Here is a 23,016-nt window from a genome sequence, read left to right as displayed (position 1 = left end):
AAATCTAAAAACATCTCAGTAAGATCAGTTCTTAGTAATCCTAGGAACAAGGAGAACAGGGACTGAAAGTATATAATAAGCTGTACTCTAACTGGCAGACAGAACTTGACATAAGTCCATCCCTAAGCCTCATGTCTAGATTATCTGGATTCATGAGCTCAATGAACTGAAGACTGCCTCTTCCCTCATGTGTGACCTAGCTCGAGTATTGCCTTCTGCTCTAGTCTCTATATTTGATTCCCACAGCTGGAGTCAAGCAGTGAGCTCACATCTACTTTGTAATGATGTTTTCTTTTCCTAGAATATGGCCTCTGTACATGTCTTTACATCCCAACCACCTGGACCACTACCCTTTTATATTCTTTCTCTTAAAACCCCAATTCATATATCATTTCTCCTGGGAAAGTTTCCAGAATGTAAACAGAGTTGTATTGTCTGTATTTCATGTCATTTCTGTATCTATTACTTTTCCCTCCACTCCATTTATTACACATACTATTTTAAAAACTTTTTACTGTAATATAATATACATCAGAAATATATATATATCAAAAGTACACAGATTTATAAATTTTCAAAGATATTGCATTTTATATTTTTGTATCTTGGCCTCTCCCATTATACTGTGAGCTAACCAGTGGTTCTCTATAACATTTCTAGGACTTACCACACAGTGGCTGGAACAAATATTAAACAAATGATAGATACTCATTTTTTCTCATTTACATTTTTGGTTTCTAGTTACTGACTATACAGCAATTTATTCATTTCTCTTAACACTGTGAAGTTGCTGCTATTATTGCCATTTTTCTGAGGAGAAAACATTATATGTTTCTTGCTTAAAATAACAAGTGGGAGATTGAATTGTTGGCCCCAGCACATCTTCCTTCTCACAAACAAGCCTGTTGCCATGTACTTTTGCAGTTTTTCCTACCACCATGGGTAGAATCTTTTTCTCTAATCCTTGACTGTGGGCTCAGCCATGTAACTTGTTTTGGCCAATTGAAGATTAGCAGATGTGATGTAAGCAGAGATTTGTAAAGTGCATTTATTGTCAAGCACTCTTGTGCCTCTGCCATTACTGAGAAAAGAGCTCTCCCTGTGCGGCTGTTGCTCCTCAGGCTGAGTACTAGAATGAGCAACATAAAGTAGAATTTAGCCAACCTAACCCAGCCTGAGTCAGCTGACCTACTGACCTGAGTGAGGCAATTGAGCACAACAGAGATGCCTCAATCAACCCAAAGTTTGAGATAGTTGCATATCAATGAGAGTACTGTTTATCGTTATGTATCACTGACTCACTAATTTAGCCAATGTTAACAGATTTGGCTGACACTCAGATCACGTTTTTAAGCAAAATACAATTCTCTCTTCTTTGATACATTTTCCAATCAAGTGTTTAGGCCTCCTCTTCATGCATCTTCTAGTTCCTGATTCAGTACAAAAAGTCTTTTAAAATACAAAGAAATCTATTTACCCTTCGTTTATTTTTTTCTCTCCTTCCTTCCGAATTCTTCCTTCTTTCCTTCCTTCTTCCTTCCCTCCATCTCTTCCTTTTTCTCACCTTTCTCATGCATATTGTAGTACTATCTGTCTAGGTATTCTATTTCATTTACTATAATGTGAGTAGTTTATCATCAATATTCTGCACACTTTATATAATTTTTTTGTCTTCTCCTTTGAGTAAATATTGAAGCATGAGGATTATTCTGTACCCAATTTTCCATAGCTTGGGATGGCCTTAGAAGAAGAGCTAACCATAGTCTTTGTTGATGGTCCTAGGTCTTTTGCATTGTGTTCAAAGTCTTGTATTTGGGTTCACTCCTCTCAGACAGCAAAGCTACCTATTTCCTTGGGGATATGGCTTTGGGTTTTGGAACATTTTTTCTATTCATCATGAAAACCTGAAAAATACTGATTTCTGGAAATTTTTGTTGCCAGCATTGAGAGTCTATAGTAGAAGGCTGGTGCTTCCAGACTCCAGTGACTTTTCATTTCTCTTCTCTAACCTGCCTGCTCTCACTCTCAGTTGCTTTTTCTCCTAATTGGTAGAAATAATTCTTGGGATTTATTTTACTCATGTTCTTTCCACATTATTGGTTCTCAAAACCAGAGAAGGCTTAGGAAATATACAAAGCAAGCTAGACATTTCCATTTAATTTTTATGTCACTACTTTTTGTAATGGATGAAATTAATATTCTTATTTAGTTGCCATTGTTAAATTAAGTTCCTGTTTTTATTTCTTTTTGTTCATATCATTATGTATTTTAGGGAGACACATTTCTCTTTTCTAAGGTACTGGCCACAGCCACCACTGTGTTATCGACACTGAGTCTTTAGCCTTTTCTTTATGCTTAGTTGATAAAGTTCAGCAGCCATTTGCAAGATTTTCTTTTTCTTCTTTGTCTATAATTTTACATTTCCAATTTATTTAGTTTTAAGACATCATAATGTTACTAAGACATGGTTCATATACCATACCTTTAAATCTATCCAACTGAATTATATAATTCATCAGTTTTTAGTGTATTCAGTTGTGTAACCACCAGTCCAATTAATTTTAGAACATTTTCATCACCCACAAAAGAAAATCCATACCTATTATCAATCACTTCGCATTTTTCCTCCAACACTCCAGCCCTAGGCAACAAATGATTTAATTTCTGTTTCTGTACACAAGCCTATTCTGGACATTTCAAATTAATGGTATCATACAACATATGGTATTTTGTGACTAGGTTATTTCATTTAGCATGATGTTTTCAGGGTTTATCTATATTGTAGTATGCATCCATTTTTTATTGCTTTTCTTAAAAAAATTTTTTTCAGAGCAGTTTTAGGTTCACAGCCAAATTGAGAAGAAGAAACAGATATACCACATACCCTCTGTACCCACACACACATCGCTTCCCCCACTATCAGTATCTCTTAGCAGAGGGGTACATTCGTTACAACTGATGAACCTACAGTGACACATCATTATCATTCAAACTCCATAGTTTATTTTGAGGTTCACTCTTGGTGGTGTACATTCTACGAGTTTGGACAAATGTAAATGGCATGTATTCACCATATAGAGTTTTACAAAATGATCTCTCTGCCCTAAAAATTCCCTGTGCTTCTTCTATACATTTGATCTTCTTACTGTCTCCATATTTTTTTCTTATCCAGAATGTTGTATAGTTGGAGTCATACAGTATGTGCCCTTTTCAGATTGTCTTATTTGACTTTATAATATGCACTTAAGTTTTCTCCCTATCTTTTCATGGTTTGATAGCTTCTTGCTTTTTAGCACTGAATAATATTCTATTGTCTGGATGTACCACAGTGTACCTATCCATTCATCTACTGAAGGACATCTTGTCTGCTTCCAAGTTTTGGTAAATATGAATAAAGCTGCTATAAACATCCATGGGCAGGTTTTTGAAGACAAAATATATGAACTCCTTTGTGTAAGTACCAAGGAATGCAATCGTTGGAATATACGTTAATAATATGTTTAGTTTTATATGAGACTGTCAAACTATCTTCCAAAGTGGTTGTATCATTTTGCATTCCTACTAGCAATGAATGAGAGTTCCTGTTGCTCCATATACACACCAGGATATGGTGCTGTCTGTTTTGGATGTTGGCCATTCAAATACGTGTATAGTAGTATCTCATGGTTGTTTTAATTTGCAATTCCCTAACGACACATGATGTTAAACAATTTTTTGTATGCTTATTTATCACCTGCATAAATTCTTAGGTCAGGTGTTTGGCTCATTCACATCTTTGGCTCATTTTATTTTATTTTATTTTTTTATTGTTGAGTTACAAGAGTTCTCTGTATGTTTTTAAGAATCCCTTACAAGATATGTCTTCTAAACATATTTTCTTCCAGTTTGAGGGTAATCTTCTCATTCTCTTGGGGGTGTTTTTTGCAAATCAGAAGTTTTAAATTTTAATGAGGCCCAGATTGTCAATTCCTTTTTTCATGGACCATGACTTTGAGGTCATATCTAAAAAGTCATTGCCACACACAAGGCCATCTAGATTTTCTCCTATATTATCTTGCAAGAGTTTTGTAGCTTTGTGTTTTACATGGAGGTCTGTGATTTATTTTGAGTTAGTTTTTCTGAAGGGTGTAGGGCTTGTGTTTAGATGCCTTTTTTTTTTTTTTTTGCATGTTGACACCCAGTAGTATCAGAATCATTTGTTGAAAGGCTTTCTTTTCTTCATGGTATTGACTTTGCTCCCTTGTCAAAGATCACTTGACTATACTGATGTAGGTCTGTTTCTGAGTTTTCTATTCTGTTCCGTTGATCTATCTGTGTATACTTTTACCAATACTACAGTGTCTTGATTACTGGAGTTTTATGTCTTGCATTTGGCTAGTGTCAGGCCTCCACCTTTGTTCTTCTCTTTCAATATTGTTTTGGCTACTCTTGGATTTTTGCCTCTCCACTTTATAATCAGCTTTTGGTTTTCACAAAATATCTTGCTAGGAGTTTGATGGAGACTGCACTGAATCTATAGTTGGAAAGAATTGACATTTTGACAATTTTGAGTCTTCCTATTCATGAATATGGAAACTTTCCCCTACTTATTTAGTTATTCCAATTGTTTTGTCAGAGTTTTGTAGTTTTTCTCATATGGATCTTGTACATATTTTGTTAGAATTATCCTTAAATATTTCCTTTTGGGGGGTGCTAATGTAAATAATATTGTGGTTTTAATTTAAAATTCCATTTGTTTATTGCTGGTATATAGTTTTCTTGTAATATTTCTGTATGGTTTTTTGCTTTAGGGCAATACATAGAATGAGTTAGGAAGTATTTCCTTTGCTTCTATCTTTTGGAAAAGATAGTAGAGAATTGATGTCATTTCTTTCTTAGCTGTTTGGTAGAATTTACTAGTTAATCCATGTGGGCCTGATGCTTTCTGTTTTGAAAGTATATTGTTTAGTGATTCAATTTCTTTAACATATGTAGGCCTATTCAGATTTTCCTTTTTTATGTGTGAGTTTTGGCAGATTTTGTCTTTCAAGGAATTCGTCCATTTCATCTTGGTTATCAAATTTTGGGGCATTGAGTTGTTCATATTATTGCTTTACTATTCGTTTAATGTTCATAGAATCTGTAGTGATGTTCCTTCTTTCATTTCTTATTTTAATAATTTCTGTTCTTTCTATTTTTTCTTAGATACACTGGTTAAAACCTTATTCATTTTATTGATCTTTTCAGAGAAGCAAGTTTAGGTTTCATTTATTTTCTTTATTGATTTCCTGTTTTCAATTTCATTGATTCCTACTCTAATTTTTATTTCTTTTCTTCTGCTTACATTGGATTTAATTTGTTCTTCTTCTCTGGTTTCCTAAAGCGGAAGTTTAGGTGATTGATTTTACGTCTTTCTTTTTTATAATATATGCATTCAATGCTATACATTTCTTTCTAAGTACAGATTTCACAGCATCCCGTAAATTTTGATGTTGTATTTTCATTTTCCCTTAGTTCAAAGTATTTTTAAATTTATCTTGAGATTTCTTTTTTGACCCACTTATTATTTACAAGGATATTGTTTATTCTCTATGTATATGTGATTTTTCAATTTTTTTGTTGTTGATTTCTAATTGGATTCCATTGTGATCTGATAGCCGATATTGTATGATTTCTCTTCTATTCGCTTTTCCCTTCCATTTACTTGGTGCCCAACCCATTAATTTACTTTTAACTTAAATGTGCCTTTATATTTAAAGTAGGTTTCTTGTGGGTACTTATATGCTAAGGTGTAATTTGTGGCTTACAATGTAGTTTATCTTCAAGAATGTTCTATGTGAACTTGAGAAAAATGTGCATTCTGCTTTTGTTTGATGAGGTACTCCATAGATGTCAATTATATCCAGTTGAATAATGGTGCTATTGAGTTCAACTACATCTTACTGACATTCCGCCTGCTAGATCTGCCCGTTTTTGATAGAAAGATGTTGTTGTCTCCAACAACTGTAATAGTAGATTTATCTATTTCTTCTTGCAATTCTATCAGTTTTTGCCTCATGTATTTTGATGCTCTGTTGTAGGTGCATACATATTAAGGATTGTTATGTGTTCTTGGTGAACTGATAAAACTGATAATGAGTTTATCATTATGTAATGCCCCTCTTTATCTCTAATAACTTTAAAGCCTCCTTCGTCTGAGATTAACATAACCATTCCTGCTTTCTTTTAGTTAGTGTTAGCATGGTATCGCTTTTCCCTTCCATTTACCTTTTATTTTTATTTTTTTTCTTTTGAGACAGAGTCTATCTCTGTCGCCTATGCTGGAGTGCAGTGGCATGATCTCAGCCCACTGCAACCTCCATCTCCTGGGTTCAATTAGTTCTCTTGCCTCAGCTTTCCAAGTAGCTTGGATTACAGGCATGTGCCATGACACCCAGCTAATTTTTTGTATTTTCAGTTGAGATAGAGTTTCACTATGTTGGCCAGGCTGGTCTTGAACTTCTGGGCTCAAGTGATCCACCCGCCTTTGTATCCTAAAGTGCTGGGATTACAGGTGTGAGCTATGGTGCCCAACCCATTCATTTACTTTTAATTTAAATGTGCCTTTATATTTAAAGTAGGTTTCTTGTGGGTACTTACAGTTGGGACTTATTTTTTGATCCACTCTGACAATCTCTGTCTTTTAAGTGTTGCATTTAGACCATGGACATTCAAAATGATTATTGATATAATTGGATTAATATTTGGCACATTTATTGCTGTTTTATTTGTTCCCTTTTTCTTTGTTCTTATTTTTGTCTTCTTTCTGCTTTTTGTTATTTTAATTGAGAATTTTATATGATTGGATTTTTTCTCCATTCTTAGCATATCAGTTACATTCATTTATAATGTATGAATATCATTATCATGTATCAATATCATACAGCATTGTAATGTATCAATAAAACATATCAGTTACATTCATTTATAAACTTATTTTAGTGGTTTCCCTAGAGTGTGCAAATACATTTACAACTAATTCAAGCCCACTTTCAAGTAACACCGTACTGCTTCAAAGGCAGTGTGAGTACCTTATAACGAAATAATCCTCATTGCTGCTTCTCATCCTTTATCTCATTGTTATCATTTATTTCACTTATATATAAGTGTGTATAACACACATATATATATACACAAAATGGGATAGTTCCCTTGGCCCCTTCAGGAGTGGGACTTGTGAAGGGGCGGCTCATTTACTCAGCCTGCAGCTCTGAACCCCTCATGGGATGGGGAGCATGCAGGTGAGTAGGTGCAGGAGACAAAGCTAACAAATGCTGGAACCGGCTGATGGCTCCTCTCTGGTGGGAGGAGGCTCTGTGTAGGCCGCTTGGCAGCATCCTAGCACGTTACCATGCTCTTTTAGCACTGCCATCTGGAAGGGGGTGCCTGTGAGCCCCGGAGCCCCACAGGGTATGTTACCAGCCCAGTGAGCCTTTTGCCTCATTGTATGAGGCAGCTGCCCACTGCCAGCAAGGGCGAAGGGCCAATGTGACAGCCTTTTCTGGGTTCCCGCACCCAGTGCATCCCAAATTTTTGTCTGGTGCCCAAGAGGAATGAGGCCACACAGACTTGAAGGATGGTGAGTGTGGAGATTTTATTGAGTGGTAGAAGTGGCTCTCAGAGGGATGGGAGCTGGAAAGGGTATTGAGTGGGAAGGCAGTCTTGCCCTGGAGTTCAGCCTTCCCCAGCAGTCACTGACCATCCCTGGCAAACTCCTCTCTGACTGTAGTCTCCAATGTCCAGCTACTTCTTCTCTCGACATTCAGATGCTTCTCTCTTCTGTGTGTGTGTGAGCTGAGTCTGGGGTTTGGGGTTCTTATGGGCATAGGATAGGGGGCATGGTGAGCCAAAAGGCAACATTCAGGTGGGAAAACAAGGATGTGAAGCTCTCACTTAGGGCTGTGGGTTTAGGCTTGAGGGTGGAGCCCTCACCAGAGACCCTTCCCTTTTCTACCCAGTATTTCCCTGCCTCTTGTCTGTATCATATGCATACATAACTAATATGTTGTTTCTGTTTTTATTTTGAACAAACTATTATCTGTTAGGTCAATGAAGAATAGCAAAAATAAGTTTCTATTTTACTTGCATTTATTCCTTTTTTGATGCTCTTTCTTTATGTAGATATGAGTTTCTGACCTATATCACTTTCTTTCTCTCTAAAAATCTTTTTTTGTTTAACATTTCTTGCAGTGCAAGTTCATCAATATTTGTTTGTCTGCCAAAGTCTATTTCTCCTTCATTTTTGAAGGATAATTTCACAGGGTACAGAATTCTAGGTTGGTGGGTTTTTCTTTCCCCAATAATTCAAATATTTCACTCTACTTTCTTATTGCTTGCTTGGTCTCCAAAGAGAAATCAGATGTATTTCTTTTTTGTTTCTCTATAAAATTAGCTGTTTTTTAGTTTGGAACTTGCAAAAAAAATACTAAAAATAGAGTTATATGATTCAGCAATCCCGTTGCTAGGTCTATACCCCAAAGAAAAGAAATCAGTATATCAAACAGATATCTGCACACTCACGTTTATTGCAGCATTATTCACAATGGCTAAGCTTTGGAAGCAATGTACATGTTCATCAACAGACAAACAGGTAAATAAAATGTGGAGCATATTCACAGTTGAGTACTATTCAGCCATAATAATGAATGAGGTCTTGTCGTTTGCAACATGGATGGAACTGGAGGCCATTACTTTAAGCAAAATAAGCCAGGCACAGAAAGACAAACTTTTCATGTTCTCACTTATTTGTGAGAAATAAAATTAAAACGATTGAACTCATGGAGATAGAGAATAGAACAATGGTTACCAGATGCTAGAAAGTATAGTGACTAGGGGAAGAGACAATGGTTAATGTGCACAAAAATACAATTAGGTAGAATTAATAACATCTAGTATTTTATAGCACAACAGAGTGACTCCCGTCAACAATAATTTATTTTACATTTAAAAATAACTAAAAGAGTATAATTGGATTGTTTGTAACGTAAAGAAGGGATAAATGCTTCAGGTAATGAATACCCCATTTACCCTGATGTGATTATTGCACATTGTATGCCTGTATCAAGATATTTCATGTACCCCATAAATATATACACCTACTATATATCTACACACACACACACACACACAAACTAAAAGCAATAAAATTAGCTGTTTTATCCCCCTCTGGCTTCTTTCAGGATTTAGAAAAAAAATCTTTGATTTTCTGTAGTTTGAAAATGGCATGCTTAAGTGTAGTTTTTTGTTGTTGTTTGTTTGTTTTTGTCATTTATCTTCCTTGGTGTTCTGTGTACATCCTGAATCTGTGGTTTGGTGTCTGATATTAATCCGGAAAAATTCTCAGTTATTATTGTCTCAAATATTCTGTTGTTTTCCTTTTTCTTCTAGTATTTCCACTACATGTAAGTTATACTTTTTGTAGTTGTTCCACAGTTTGTGGATATTTTATTCTCCCTCTGTCCCCACCTCTCCACCCCGCCCAATCTTTGTCCTCTTTGCTTTCCAGATTTGAAAGTTTCTATTAATATAGTCTCAAGTTCAGAGACCTTTTTCTCCGCCATGTCTAGTCTACTAAAAAGCTCATCAAAGGCATTCTTTATTTTTGTTAGTGTTTTCTTGTGTCCAGCATTTTCTTTTGGTACTTTCTCAGAATTGCAATTTCTCTGCTTACATTGCCCATCTGTTCTTGCATGTAGTCTCCTTTACCCGTTAGTGCTCTTACCATATTAATAATGTTTTAAAATTTCCTGATAATCCTAAATTCCCTGCCATGTCTGGTTCTGATGCTTTCACTGTCTTTTCATAATGTTTTTTGCCTTTTAGTTTGCCTTGAATTTTTTCTTGATAGTCAAACCTAATGTATTGGATCAAAGCGACTGCTGTAAATAGGTCTTTAGTAATGTGGTGGTGAGGTGTGTGGGAAGGGAAGGATTATATAGTTCTACAAGTAGGTTTCAGTCTTTTAGTGAGTTTGTCTCTCTGGACTGTGAACTTTACACATGCTTCTCCATCCTTTCCCCAAACCTTAAGTGGAACAAAATGGCTAAAGTAGGCTTCAGTTGGGTATTTTTCTTCTCCCAAGTCAGCTGGGTTTTCCCTAGGAAATTAGGCTCTGTGGTTAACTGGTTTCTTTTGAGGACAGACCTTATTAAGAACAGGGTGCGCTTAATTCAGAATGGATCCTTTCCCTTCTCCCTTGCTGGAAGCATGGAAGTATTTCTTTCTGATGTTTTCTGTGAGAACCTGGTGATAAAACTCACAAACATGTCAGTACCCTCCTATGACTAGGTCCGCCTGAAGTTTTTAACTCTCAGACTTGTCCACAGTTAGCCTCCAGGAATTTGTCAATTATAGCTCAGGTTTTTCTACTTCAGCAATGATTCCTGGGGAGATTTGTTCTCTGGTATATGGAGAGTCTCTCTATCTGCCCGTATTTCCAGTTTGGGAGATAGCAGATTTACCCTGTGACTTTGCTTCTGTGAAGTATCTAAGTTGTTTCTATTTATTTATTTTTTAGTTTATTTAGCTTTTTACTTATTTTTACCTATTGTTTGGACAGAGTGGCAACTTCCAAGCATGCAGAACTGGAAACTGAACTTCATTTTGTTTTTAATCATATCTTTGAAATGGAAAATTAGCACTTGTCAACAAATTACAAATATAACACTTTCAAAATAGTTTATCAATGATTTTCAAAGTTTTTTTTGTAATTTAAAGACTTTGTATTGAAATTACTTTCCAAAATTTAAAACAGAACTTTTATTTGAGTTTCCACATTCCTCAAATATTAATAACTTGCTTGGGAAAAAATGGATTGTGTTTTCCTTTAAAATACATACGTAAACTGTTTTCAATGGTGATTACAAGAAAAACTATAATAAGGTTATTTTATATAATCTGGTATTACATTATAGTACAAAAACTAAAAAGAACTAAAATTTTATTGTTTTAAAGCTGGGATTCAAATCTGAATTTTGTCATTTACTAAATAAAAGTTTTTCCACATGCGTTTCCCTGGGTATTAGTTTCTGCATTTGAAAAATAAGAAGTATAGTACCCACATGAGTTAGGTCATGAATTGTTACAAGAATCAAACTGAATAATATATATGAAACTCCTCATAAATTTAAATTGATATATCAATTAAAGTTATTTATTTTCTCAGCACTAAATGAAGAACTCCAGAAACTCCTAAGAAAGTTTGACAATTGCATAGTTAAAAACAATTTGAAAGCAGCAAAGAGTCCATAACTTGAGCTAATATTCCTTCATTTCAAGCTGAGGTCTTTGGTAACCAAGTAATAATATGAATGTTGAGAAGGGTAACAATTGTGACACCCTCTGACCCTCCCTCTCCTCTTTCTCAACTTTAGTTTGGTAGACAATTTTTTAAAAAGAAGAAATAAATAAAGGAGTTAACCACCTGATAGTTCGGCCAAAAAATAATGGGAGAGCATTGTGTTCCACAGGAAGTTAATTAGTTTCACAAAATGACTCATGTAACAAAAAAAAGTCTTATTATTTTTGCTTTTGAGAGAGAAATGATTGATACCAGACCTTGATACTAGATTAAATTAGGACCTATCAGGTGAAACAGAATTGTTTTCTTCCTTAATTTTCTATGTATCTGAATCAAATTATTTCATTTAGTTTTCTTTCCCATTACTACTCACTAATTTATTATTGTTGTTGCTTGTTGTTGTTGTTGTTGTTGTTGTTAAGGCAATTTACCTAGATGAGCTAAAAGTATCCATGAGTCATCCAAGGTTTGAGGTTGTCTGTCTTGGACCCAGAATACTGGTTCCCAGTTGTAAGTCAAAGGAATTAAGATGGAAAATTATTACATTTTGCTGGCTCAGTCCTGGGAAAGCATTACACTTGGGCTTAGTCTCATTCTTGCTTCTTCTTTCCCTATGGATTCTTTTCAGATATCATGGGTCATTTAGTGAATAATGGTTGTAAGCCCAAACACAGAATCCAGACTAAGTTTGGGTTCAAATCCCTCCTCTTAATAAGCTACGTGATCTTAGGTAGATCACCTCATCTCTTTTGGCCTTGGTTTTCTCATAAATAAAATGGAGATATTTAAAATCCTCCTTCTTAGGTTTGCTAGGAATGCCACAGAAACTGCACATGTATACCTATGTAACAAACTGCATGTTTTGCACATGTATCCCAGAATTTAAAGTAAAATTTTTAAAAATCTAGCACATATTAAATGCTCATTATTGTTAGAATATTCTAGAATTTAAATTCAAGTGAAATCTTAAGACCATAATATCTTTGTTCTGAAAAACATTTGATTTCAGCTAGCCAGCTTCTCTGTCAATAAGACAGTGCTTCCCCAACACATGCAGGGCTGTTTGTTTTTCCTTTGGCCTCAGTGTCTTTTAAAATAAACCCATGTTTAAATCTAAAGCAAATCCAAACTAATTTAGCAATGGTGAATATTTCCTTGCTGAAAATAAGACTTACCTCACTCCTTAAGTCAAGCTGGAGTTTCCTGTGGATGCCAAATGCCGAAAGCCTGCTGAGAGAGCAGCATGTGATGAATCACCAGAAAAGATGAAAATGATCATACTCTGGAAACACATTTTGCTAACACAAAGACCACAGAGTCTCCTCTCTCCATACCATCAGGCTATTACCACTTCAACCTCAGGGCATTACAGTAAGACAGCAATGATGATAAACTCTGAACTTCTTTGGTAAGGGGTCAGAAGAAGGGAGGCCATGGGTCTGAAGATATTTTTATAATATTATCCTGTCCTTTGTATTACATACTTGTTTTTATTTCATGAAATTGTTCTTGGTCTGGTGTAAGGAACATGAGACTAACACTTACAGTGTGTTCTAGACCAGTGGATCTCAAAGTGTAGTTCCCAGATCAGCAGCAACAGCATCACCTGAGAATTTGTTTGAAATGCAATGCTTGGTTCCATCAAAGAATTACTGAATCAAGAACTCTGCTTGTGGGGCTTAGAAATCTGTGTTTTAATAACAGGTCCCCCAGGCGATTCTAATGCATGCTCAAATTTGAGAACCAATTACAAGAAGTTGGAGAACAAAGTCTCCTGTGCTGGCTCTGCAATTTGTTTCCCTGTGGCCTTGAGTTAGACCTCTTAGAACTTGAGCCCTCCCCTGTAAAAGATAAATGGAGATAATGGGCCACTGGCAAGGAGACAATATGTGAGGGTGCTTCATAAACTATGTGATAAATACATGTGTCATTTTATTTAAGTCTACTGATATAGGCTTCAGAAAATTATGTCAGAAGGGGATTAATCAGAAGATTTTTTTTTTGAAACTGAATGAATTTTTAATTAAAAAAAGATAAAATAGCCATAAACCTATTCTCAAAGCTTAGGGCTGCTTTCATGAGGAGACCAAACTAGATCAGTCAGAGCAACCCACAGGGGCAGTGGCCAGGGAGGTGGGAAGCAATCCCAGAATTGTGCCAAGGCGGGGGTTCCACTGGGGAAAAGGGAACAATGGTTTTTCCTCTCCCTTTTACAAGTAATTGTACTTCTTTGACTCACATTAGACTGCCTATTTCCTTGTAGTACAATGAAGATGAGAGATCGCTTGTGTTACCCCCAAGATCATAAAGCCACAGTCAAGAAAAGTTAGTTTGAGTAAAATACCTTCATAAAATTACAGCTAGCAAAAGGGAAGCCTGATCGTTTGGACCCCAGAAAAATATATTCTTTCTGTGCTCAAGAGAATACATTAGCATCTTCCTGAATCCTGATTGAAAAGACTCAAGCTCATTCTCTAGTCATTCAAAAAGGATGCAATTTTCCAGTGACAATAAGGGCTATTAAATGTCCCAGTTGGAAATGAGAATAATGTGTGGCTCAGCCAGCCAAATTCCAAATCAGTATTCTTCCTTAGCATCAATCAAATTGGTGATGCTGTCTATTTCTATATATTGCTTATGGGTTATTTATATGTGCCATTGGATTTTATAGAAATATTTAAAATATAATATCTACGTATGAAATGTCTTTGCTCTCAAGTGATATTTTCGAAGTCATAAGTAATAATGAACACAGAAATCTAAAGCTATTTTTTTATACAATGAAAATGCTCTTTGTAAGAATTACTAGCCCTTTTCGTTTCAAGCTCTTTCTTCCTGTAAGGTACCACAGACATACCGAAGACACTTTTTTCAAGGAAATGGAATATTAGGTTTCAAATGCCCAATATTAAGCTACATTTACCATGTGTACTAATCAAATTATGCATGTTCCTTGCGGGTTCAAGGAAAAAAACATCATATTATGGGGAGATTGTTGTGGTAGAGATCTTTTCCATGAGATAAGCATACCTGTTTCTGTGTCATTTACCAAGCCAACTTTACTATACAAAGGCTCCCATGAACGGGGTCTGTCAGCATACTTGGAAATTATGACTTAGAGAATGACGTTGAAGAGGAGCTGGCATTGCCCAAACCATGAATCTACCCCACATCCAGCTCTGAGTCAAAAATTAGTAAAAAAAAAAGCTCCCTGGCTTTGGACACTAGATTTAACATACCCTACTGCTACCAAAACCTGAGGTTAGAAGACTTCAAATTAATTTCTAGGTTTACCACCAATAGGTTGACTATGGTGTGCCCATTCATGGGAGTACAACAATTTCCCTTTAATACAAAATAGGATAAATACTCTAGTAAGATTATGTTACTATCTATACTGCTGTAGTCTGTTTTTTTGTTTTTTTGTTTGTTTGTTTGTTTTACTTTTAATAGACTTTATTTTAAAAGCCATTTTAGGCTTACAGCAAAATTAAGCAAAAGGCACAGTTTCCATATATTACTTGCCCCCCACACACCCACAGCCTCCTCCACTATCAACATCCCTTATCAGAATGGTACATTTGTTACACCTGATGAACCTACATTGCTATGTCATTACCATCCAAATTCCATAGTTTATACTAGGGTTCACTCTTGGTGTTCTATATTCCATGAGTTTAGACAGATGTATAATTACATGTATTTACCATTGTAGTAACACAGATTAGTTTCTATGTCCTAAAAAATCCTCTGTGCTTTTTCTATTCATTTCTCTCTTCCCTCAAGCCCTGGCAACCACTGATCTTTTTTTCACAGTCTCTATAGTTTTGCCTTTTCCACAACATCACGTAGTTGGAATCATACAGTATGTAGCCTATTCGCATTCTTTTCTTTCGCTTAGTAGTAATGCATTTAAAGTTACTCTCTGTCTTTCCGTGGTTGATAGCTGTATTAGGCCATTTTTGCATAACTATAAAGAAATATCTGAGACTGAGTAATGTTTAAAGAAGAGAGGTTTAATTGACTCACAGTTCTGCAGGCAGTACAGAAAGCACGGCACCAGCATTTGCTTCTGGTGAGGGCATCGGAAAGCTTCCAATCATGTTGGAAGGCAGATGGAGAGCAGGCATGTAACATGGCAGGAGCTGGAGCAAGAAAGAGGGAGCAAGAGAGAAAGTGAGAAGGTTCCACACCCTTTAAAATAACCAGATCTCATGTGAACACAGAGCAAGAACTCACTCGTGCACCAAGGGCATGGCACTAAGCCTTTCATGAGGGATCTACTCCCATGACCAAAACACTTTCCACTGGGTCCCACCTCCAATGCCAGGTATTACATTTTAACATGAAATTTGGAGACAACAAACATCCAAACCATATTACTTAGCCCCTCCCCACCTGCCGAATCACATGTACTTTTCATATTGCAAAATACAATAGTGCCTTCCCAACAGTCCCCAGAAGTCTTAAATTGTTCCAGTCCTGACTCAAAGATGGCAAGGTGCAAAGTCCAAAGTCTCATCTGGAGATGGAGTTCCTTCCAACTATGAGCCTATGAAATCAAAACTAAGTTATTTGTTTCCAAGATACAATAGCAGTACAGGCATTGAGTAGACATATCCATTCCAAAAGAAAGAAATTGGTCAAAAGAAGGGGACTATGGGCTTCATGCAAGACTAGAGCCCAGCAGGGCAGCCACTAAATCTTAAAATTTCAAAATAGTCTTCTTTGGCTTCATGTCCCACATCCAGTACATGGAGTGGTGCAAGGAGTGGGCTCCCGAGGTCTTGGACAGCTCTGCAGCTGTGACTTTGTAAGGTGCAGCACCCATGGGTGCTTTCATGAGTTGGAGCTGAGTTCCTACAGCTTTTCTAGGCTCAGGATGCAAGCTTCCTGTGGCCCTACCATTCTGGGGCCTGGAGGGTGGTGGCTCCCTTCAACACCTCCATGAGGCAACGCCCTTGTGGGGACTCTGTGTTGGAGCTCCAACCCCACATTTACCCTCTGCACTGCCCTGTGGAGATTCTCTGTAAAGGCTCTGCCCCTGTGGCAGGCTTCTTCCTGGGCACCCAGGCTTTCTCAAACAACCTTTAAAATCTAGGAGGAAGTTTCAAAGCCTCCTTCACACTTGCATTCTATATGCCTGCAGATTTAACACACAGTGGAACGTACCAAGACTTATGATATATGTCCACCAGAGTGGCAGCCTGAGCTGTACTTGTAGCTCTTTGAGCCACTGCTGGATCTGGAGCTGCCAGGATCTTGGGAGCCGTGTCCTGAGGCTGACCAGGGCAATGAGGCCCTGGGCCTGGCGCCTGTAATTATTCTTTCCTTCTCTGCCTTTGGACTTGTGATGAGAGCTGAGAGCATCTGTCTCTAAGATTTCTGAAATGCCTTCAAGGCCTTTTCCCCATTGTCCTGGATATTAGCACTTGGCTCCCTTTTAGTCATGCTAATCTCTCTAGTAAGTGGTTACTCTACAGCCTGCTTGGATTCTTTTCCTGCCATATGGCAAGGCTACAAATTTCCCAAACTTACACTTTACTTCCCTTTTACACTTTACTTCCCTTTTAAATATAAGTGCCAACTTTAGGTCATTTCTTTGCTTCCATATCTGATCATAGGTTGTTAAAAGTAGCCAGACCACCTCTTAAATGCTCTGCTGCTTAGAAATTTCTTCTGGCAGTTACCCTGAGTCATCACTCTTATGTTCAAGTATCCACAGATCCCTAGAACATGTGCACAATGCATCCAAGCTTTTTGCTAAGGCATAACATGGGTGACTTTTACTCCAGTTTCCAATAACTTCTTCATTTCCATCTAAGACCTGTTCAGCCTGGACTTCACTGTCCATATTTCTATTAGCATTTTGATCACAACCATTTAACCAGTTTCTAAGAAGTTCCGAATTTTCCCTCATTTTCCTGTCCTCTTCTGAGCCCTCCAAACTCTTTCAGCCTCTGCCTGTTACCAAGTTCCAAACCTGCTTTCACATTTTCACTTCTCTTTAGAGCAATGCCCCACTCCTCAGGACCAATATTCTGTACTAGACCATTTTTGCATTACTATAAAGGAATTCCTGAGGTTAGGTAACTTATGAAGAAAAGAAGTTTAATTGGCTCATGGTTCTGCAGGCTGTACAAGAAGCATGGTGCCAGCATCTGTTTCTGATGAGGAAATTTACAGTCATAGAAGCTTACAGTTACTGCAGGAAGGTGAAAGGGGAGCAGACACATCACATGGTGCGTTAGGCCATTCTTGCATTGCTACGTTGGAGACTGCATAATTTATGAAGAAAAGTGATTTAATTGATTCACAGTTTTGCAGGCTATACAGGAATCATGACATGAGGTATCTGCTTATAAGGACTCAGGAAGCTTACACTCATGGCAGAAGGCAAAGGGGGAGCTGGCATGTCACATGGCAAAAGCAGGAGCAAGAGAGTGAGGGGAGGGGAGTTGCCACACACATTAAAATGACTAGATCTCATGAGAACTTACTTCATTCATGGGAACTCTGCCCTCATAATCCAGTCACCTCCCACCAGGCCCCACCCCCAACATTGGGAATTGCATTTCAACATGAGACTTGGGCAGGGTTAGATAGTGAAACTATTACATGGCGAGAGCTAAACCAAGAGAGAGGGAGCAAGAGAGAGAAGAGGATGTGCCACATACTTTTAAACAACCAGATCTCACATGAACATAGAGCAAGAACTCACTCATCACCAAGGGGGTAGTGCTAAGCCATTCAAAAGAGATCTGCCCTACGATTCAAACACCCACCACAGGCCCCACCTCTAATACTGGAGATTATATTTAAATATGCAATTTATAGTGGACAAACATCCAAACCATATCAATAACTCCTTTCTTTTTTAACACTGAATAATTCCATTGTTGCATATACCACAGTTTATTAATCCATTTGCCTACTGAAGGACATTTTGGTTGCTTTTGTGTTGTAGCTATTATGAATAAAGCTGCTATAAACACTTATGCACAGGTTTTCATATGAATATAAATATTCAAATCATTGAGTAAATACCAAGGAACACAATTGTTGAACTATATGTTAAGAATATGTTTAGTTTTGTAAAAACTGCCAAACTGTCTTTCAAAGTGGTTGTACCATTTTTCATTTTCAAAATGGTTGTGCCATTTTTCATTTTCACCAGCAATGAATGAGAGCTTTTGTTACTGCAAATCCTCACCAGCATTTTGTGTTATCTATGTTGTGATTTTGGTCATTCTAACAGGTGTGTAGTGGTATCTCATTGTTTTAATTTGCAATTTCCTAATGACATATGATGTCAAGCATTTTTTTGTGCTTATTTGTCATCAGTTTATCTTCATTGGTAAGAAGTCTGTTTCATATCTTTTGTCCATTTTTAATTGTGTTGTTCATTTTCTTATTGAGTTTTAATTGTACTTCATATATTTTCAATAACAGTCATTTATCAGATACATCTTTTGCAAATACTTTCTCCCAGTCTGTTGCTTGTCTTCTCATTGTTTTGATAGTGTTTTTTACACAATATAAGTTTTTAATTTTAATGGAGTTTCACTTACCAATTCTTTCTTTCACAGGTCATACTTTTGGCATTGGATCTAACATATTAGCTTTATACCCAAGGACACGTATATTTTCTCAGATGTTATCTTCTAAGAGTTGTATAATTTTGTGTTCTACATTTAGGATAATTATTTACTTTGTTAATTTTTGTGAAAAGTGTAAGGTCTGGATCTACATTCATTATTTTGCATATAGATATCTAGTTGTTGCAAGACCATTTGTTGAAAGACAATTTTTTTCCATTGTACTGCCTTTGCTACTTTGTCAAACATCACTTAACTATATTTGTCTATTGATGAATTATTCTGTTCTATTGGTTGATCTATGTATACCCTTGCCAGTACTACAGTGTCCTGGATACTGTAGCTTTACAGTATTAGTTGAGGTCAGGTTGTATTAGTCCTCTGACTTTGTTCTTTATGCTGGCTCCTCTGCATCTTTTGCCTCTCCATATAAACTTTAGAATGTTTGTCAATATCCACAAAATAACTTTTTCTGGGATTTCAATTCAGATTGTAGTGAATGTATAGATCAGGTTGGGAAGAGCTGATGACATCTTCACAATATTGAATCTTTCTGTCCATGACCATGGAATCTCTCTCCATTTATTTAGTTTTTATTTTCTGTTTTTTTTTAATCAGTAGTTTTCCTCATATAGGTCTTGTACATATTTTGTTAAGCTTATGCCTAATAATTTAATTTCTTTAGTGTTAATGTAAATGATATTGTGTTTTTTATTTAAAATTCCACTTGTTCATTGCTAGCATATAGGAAAGTCATTGACTTTTGTACATTAACCTTGCATCCTGCAACTGTGCTATAATTTCTTATCACCTCCAGGAATTTTGTCCATTCTTTCAAATTTTATACATACACAATCATGTCATTGAACACAGTTATATCTTTTTCTTCCCAATCCGTATACTTTTTACTTTATTGCTTGTCTGATTGCATCAACTAGGACTTCTAGTACAATGGTAAAATAAGTAGCAAGAGAAGGCATTTTCTAATTTCTTATTAGTAGGTATAATGTAACCAGTAGGTTTAGGGTAGATGTTATTTTTCAAGGTTAGGGAGTTCTGCTCTATTTACCGTTTGCTGATAGTTTTTTTAATGTAATAAAATATTTTAATTAATAAAGTGTTCTAAATTGAAGAAAATAAATCTTCTCACAGTTTGAGCTCAAATCTATGTTTCTAAACTTGCTTGGAATGTACTAGCTCTCTGATTGGTCTGCTTTCGTCTTAAAATTTTATAGGATCCAGTTCAGGTATTGTCTTTCCCTAAAGCTTTTCTTGATCACCTTAGCCCAAACTGGCCTTTTCCTCCCCTAAACACAGTGACATATTTTTAATTGACATGTTGTAATTGTACACATTTATTGTATACATAGTGATGTTTTGACACGATGTATAGTAATCAAATTAGGTAAGCATGCTGAGTTTTTTTTTTAAATTATGAATAGGTGTTGAATTTTGCCAAATATCTTTTCTGCATCTTTTGATAGTTATGTGATTTTTCTTTTATAGGCTGTTGATGTGATTAATTATATTAATTGATTTTAAAATGTAGAACCAGCCTTGCATACCTGGAATAAATGCCATTTGGTAATGAGGTATAATTATTTTTATACATTGTTGGATTCAATTTTTAAATTTTTTGTCAAGGATTTTTCATGTATGTTCATGAGATATATTGATCTGCAATTTTCTTTACTTGTAGTATCTTTGTCTGGTTTTGGTAAAATGGTAATGCTGGCCTTTTTATGTCCCTTGCTTTACTAGCTTACTATCATTCTACACAACTGACCTAAATTTATTTGTTTAAAAGTTTTCTTCAGACTTGTCTTGTCTTTTAACCGTGATCATTGGTTTATTTCCTCAAAGAGGAGAATTGTCATTTACTGATGTCAAATAAGGCAATACAGAGTGTTAAGTCTACCCATATTTTGATTTTTGAGTCATACCTTTAACAGGACTTAATCCAATCCCAAGAGGAAATTCTTTTCCTTAATTAGGGAACTGTGCATGGAGCAAATAATGAATCACTCAGAGATATGGAGTACATCCAGTTTATGACTCAAATTCTCTGTAATTGAATTATATTTTACCACTACATAATTATGTATTCCATACTGGTCTTTAGGGAAAAAACAGAATGTTATTCCCCTACCACAACCATTTAGGAAAAAAAAAAAAACAATTTAACAGAATTTTTCAAATATGTATCCTTACATTATAAAATTAATTATAGAGTATAATACAATATTTTAAATATCTGAATAGACATATAAGGTTATTCTAGACATATTCAATACATCAAAATTATTGAAAGCAGGTCAGGATTTGTAATCACATTATATGGTTCAGTTCATAAGTACCATATCCACTTTCAAAAAAGGACTTTGCTTCTTATCCCAGTATATGGCTTGTTTGCATAGAACACAACCAAATAAATAATGTACCCAAAATATGATCAATCAAATTATATTTGTATTATATTAATTCTGAGTTTACTTTACAAAGCATATAAATAATACTAAGTGTGAGAAAGGGAATTCTGTTGACTGGATGTGGCAGATTACATTTTCCAATGATCACCACATTCTCTCCCAAAGCACATGGGCTTCATACAATGTGACTCTAATATTCCTCCAATATTAGAAGGGAGATTTATATTCTCTCCCCTTGAATCTGGGCAAATTTGTGACTACAGTAGATGTGATACAATGTGAAATCTGAGACAAATTTATGAAAGTTGACAGCTTCCAACTGGCTATCTTTCAGGGCATTTTCTCTTGGCATCCAGCCACCATGCTACACAGAAGCAGAGATCACATGGAGACAATGCATATGCAGGTGTTTTATTTGACAGCCCCAGCTTAGGTCTCAGCCAACAGCCAAAATCACTGCCTGGCATTTGGATGAGAAGACGATTTTAGCCTCAAACATTGAGATGCCCCTCAAAGCCTTCCTAGAGTATGCTCCAGACATGATGGAGCAGGGACAAATTGTGCCTCATGTTTTTTTCTGAATTTCCAACCCCATTGCCCATGGGATGCCAGGAATATATCTGTCTTTCTGGACTCTGTTAGATGTTGTATTACTCAAGAAAGTCTGGCAATGAGTATCTGTTGCTTTTCCAGGCACATGGTGCAAGCTGTCACTGGCTGCTGGGGTCTGTAGGATGGTGGCCCTCTTCTCACAGCTACACTAGGCAGCGCCCCAGCAGGGACTTTGTGTGTGGCTCCAACTCCACATTTCCTATCTGCACTGACCTAGTAGAGGTCCTCCATGAGGTCTCCGCCCCTGCTGCAGACATCTTCCTGGACATCCAGGTGTTTTCATACATCCTCTGAAATCTAGGTGGAGGCTCCCAAATTCTTGCCTTCTGTGCAGTGGCAGGTCAAACACTGTGTGGAAGCTGCCAAGGCTTGGGGCTTGCACCCTCGGAAGCCATGGCCTGGGCTGCACCGTGGCCCCTTTTTAGCCATGGCTGGAGCTGGAGTGGCTGGGACACAAGGTTCCCTGTGTCAAGGCTGCACAAAACAGGGGTGCCTTGGGCCCAACCCATTAAATTACATTTCCCTCCTAGGCCTCAGGGCCTATGATGGGAAGGTCTGCTGCAAAGGTCTTCAACATGCTCTGGAGATATTTTCCCCATTGTCTTGGCAATTAACATTTGTCTTCTCTTTACTTATGCAAAATTTCTGCAGCCATCAGCTTGAATTTCTCCCCAGAAAATGGGTTTTTCTTTTCTACCACATGGTCAGGATACAAATATTCCAAACTTTTACACTTTGCTTCCCTTGAAAACACAAGTTCCAATTTCACACCATCTATTTGTGAATGCATATAACTGTGTGAAGTTAGGAACAGCCAGGTTAATTTTGAATACTTTGCATCTTAGAAATTTCTTCTGCCAGATACCCTAAATCATTTCTCTCAAGTTCAAAGTTCCATAGATCTGTAGGGCAGGGGCAAAATGCTGCCAGTCTCTTTGCTAAAGCATAGCAACAGTGACCTTTACTCCAGTTCCCAATAAGTTCCTCATCTCCATCTGTGGCCACCTCAGCCTGGACTTCATTGTTCACATTACTCTCAGCATTTTGATCAAAACCATTC

At 36.6% G+C, this 23,016-nt stretch overlaps 1 long non-coding RNA gene across 2 annotated transcripts in view, besides 3 other annotated features; it reads right to left on the bottom strand.

Annotated features, from left to right (window-relative positions):
- Nucleotides 1-8,523: 8,523 nt before the first annotated feature.
- The window catches only part of LOC107986066 (uncharacterized), a 116,751-nt gene continuing 102,258 nt past the window's right edge, over nt 8,524-23,016 (bottom strand). Inside the window, exons 2-3 of one of the 2 annotated variants that reach the window (XR_001740613.2) lie at nt 15,347-15,462; nt 8,524-12,547 (exon numbers count right to left, since the gene is read on the bottom strand). This is a non-coding gene — a long non-coding RNA (uncharacterized LOC107986066). The remainder of the gene's footprint in view (nt 12,548-15,346; nt 15,463-23,016) is intronic. The other variant, XR_001740614.2, reaches the window with a different exon arrangement.
- Nucleotides 16,347-16,908: an enhancer, noted in NCBI's record as "OCT4-NANOG-H3K27ac-H3K4me1 hESC enhancer chr3:19116011-19116572 (GRCh37/hg19 assembly coordinates)". NCBI's record gives its function as "activates a minimal SCP1, AML or CMV promoter by ChIP-STARR-seq in naive and primed H9 embryonic stem cells {active_cell/tissue: H9 hESC(naive and primed)}" and the evidence as "EXISTENCE:reporter gene assay evidence [ECO:0000049][PMID:30033119]".
- Nucleotides 16,909-17,470: an enhancer, noted in NCBI's record as "OCT4-NANOG-H3K27ac hESC enhancer chr3:19115449-19116010 (GRCh37/hg19 assembly coordinates)". NCBI's record gives its function as "activates a minimal SCP1, AML or CMV promoter by ChIP-STARR-seq in primed H9 embryonic stem cells {active_cell/tissue: H9 hESC(primed)}" and the evidence as "EXISTENCE:reporter gene assay evidence [ECO:0000049][PMID:30033119]".
- Nucleotides 17,471-18,032: an enhancer, noted in NCBI's record as "H3K27ac hESC enhancer chr3:19114887-19115448 (GRCh37/hg19 assembly coordinates)". NCBI's record gives its function as "activates a minimal SCP1, AML or CMV promoter by ChIP-STARR-seq in primed H9 embryonic stem cells {active_cell/tissue: H9 hESC(primed)}" and the evidence as "EXISTENCE:reporter gene assay evidence [ECO:0000049][PMID:30033119]".

This window comes from Homo sapiens, chromosome 3, assembly GCF_000001405.40.
Source record: "Homo sapiens chromosome 3, GRCh38.p14 Primary Assembly".
Lineage (NCBI taxonomy): Eukaryota > Metazoa > Chordata > Mammalia > Primates > Hominidae > Homo > Homo sapiens.
This window is presented reverse-complemented; position numbering and strand designations above follow the sequence as displayed.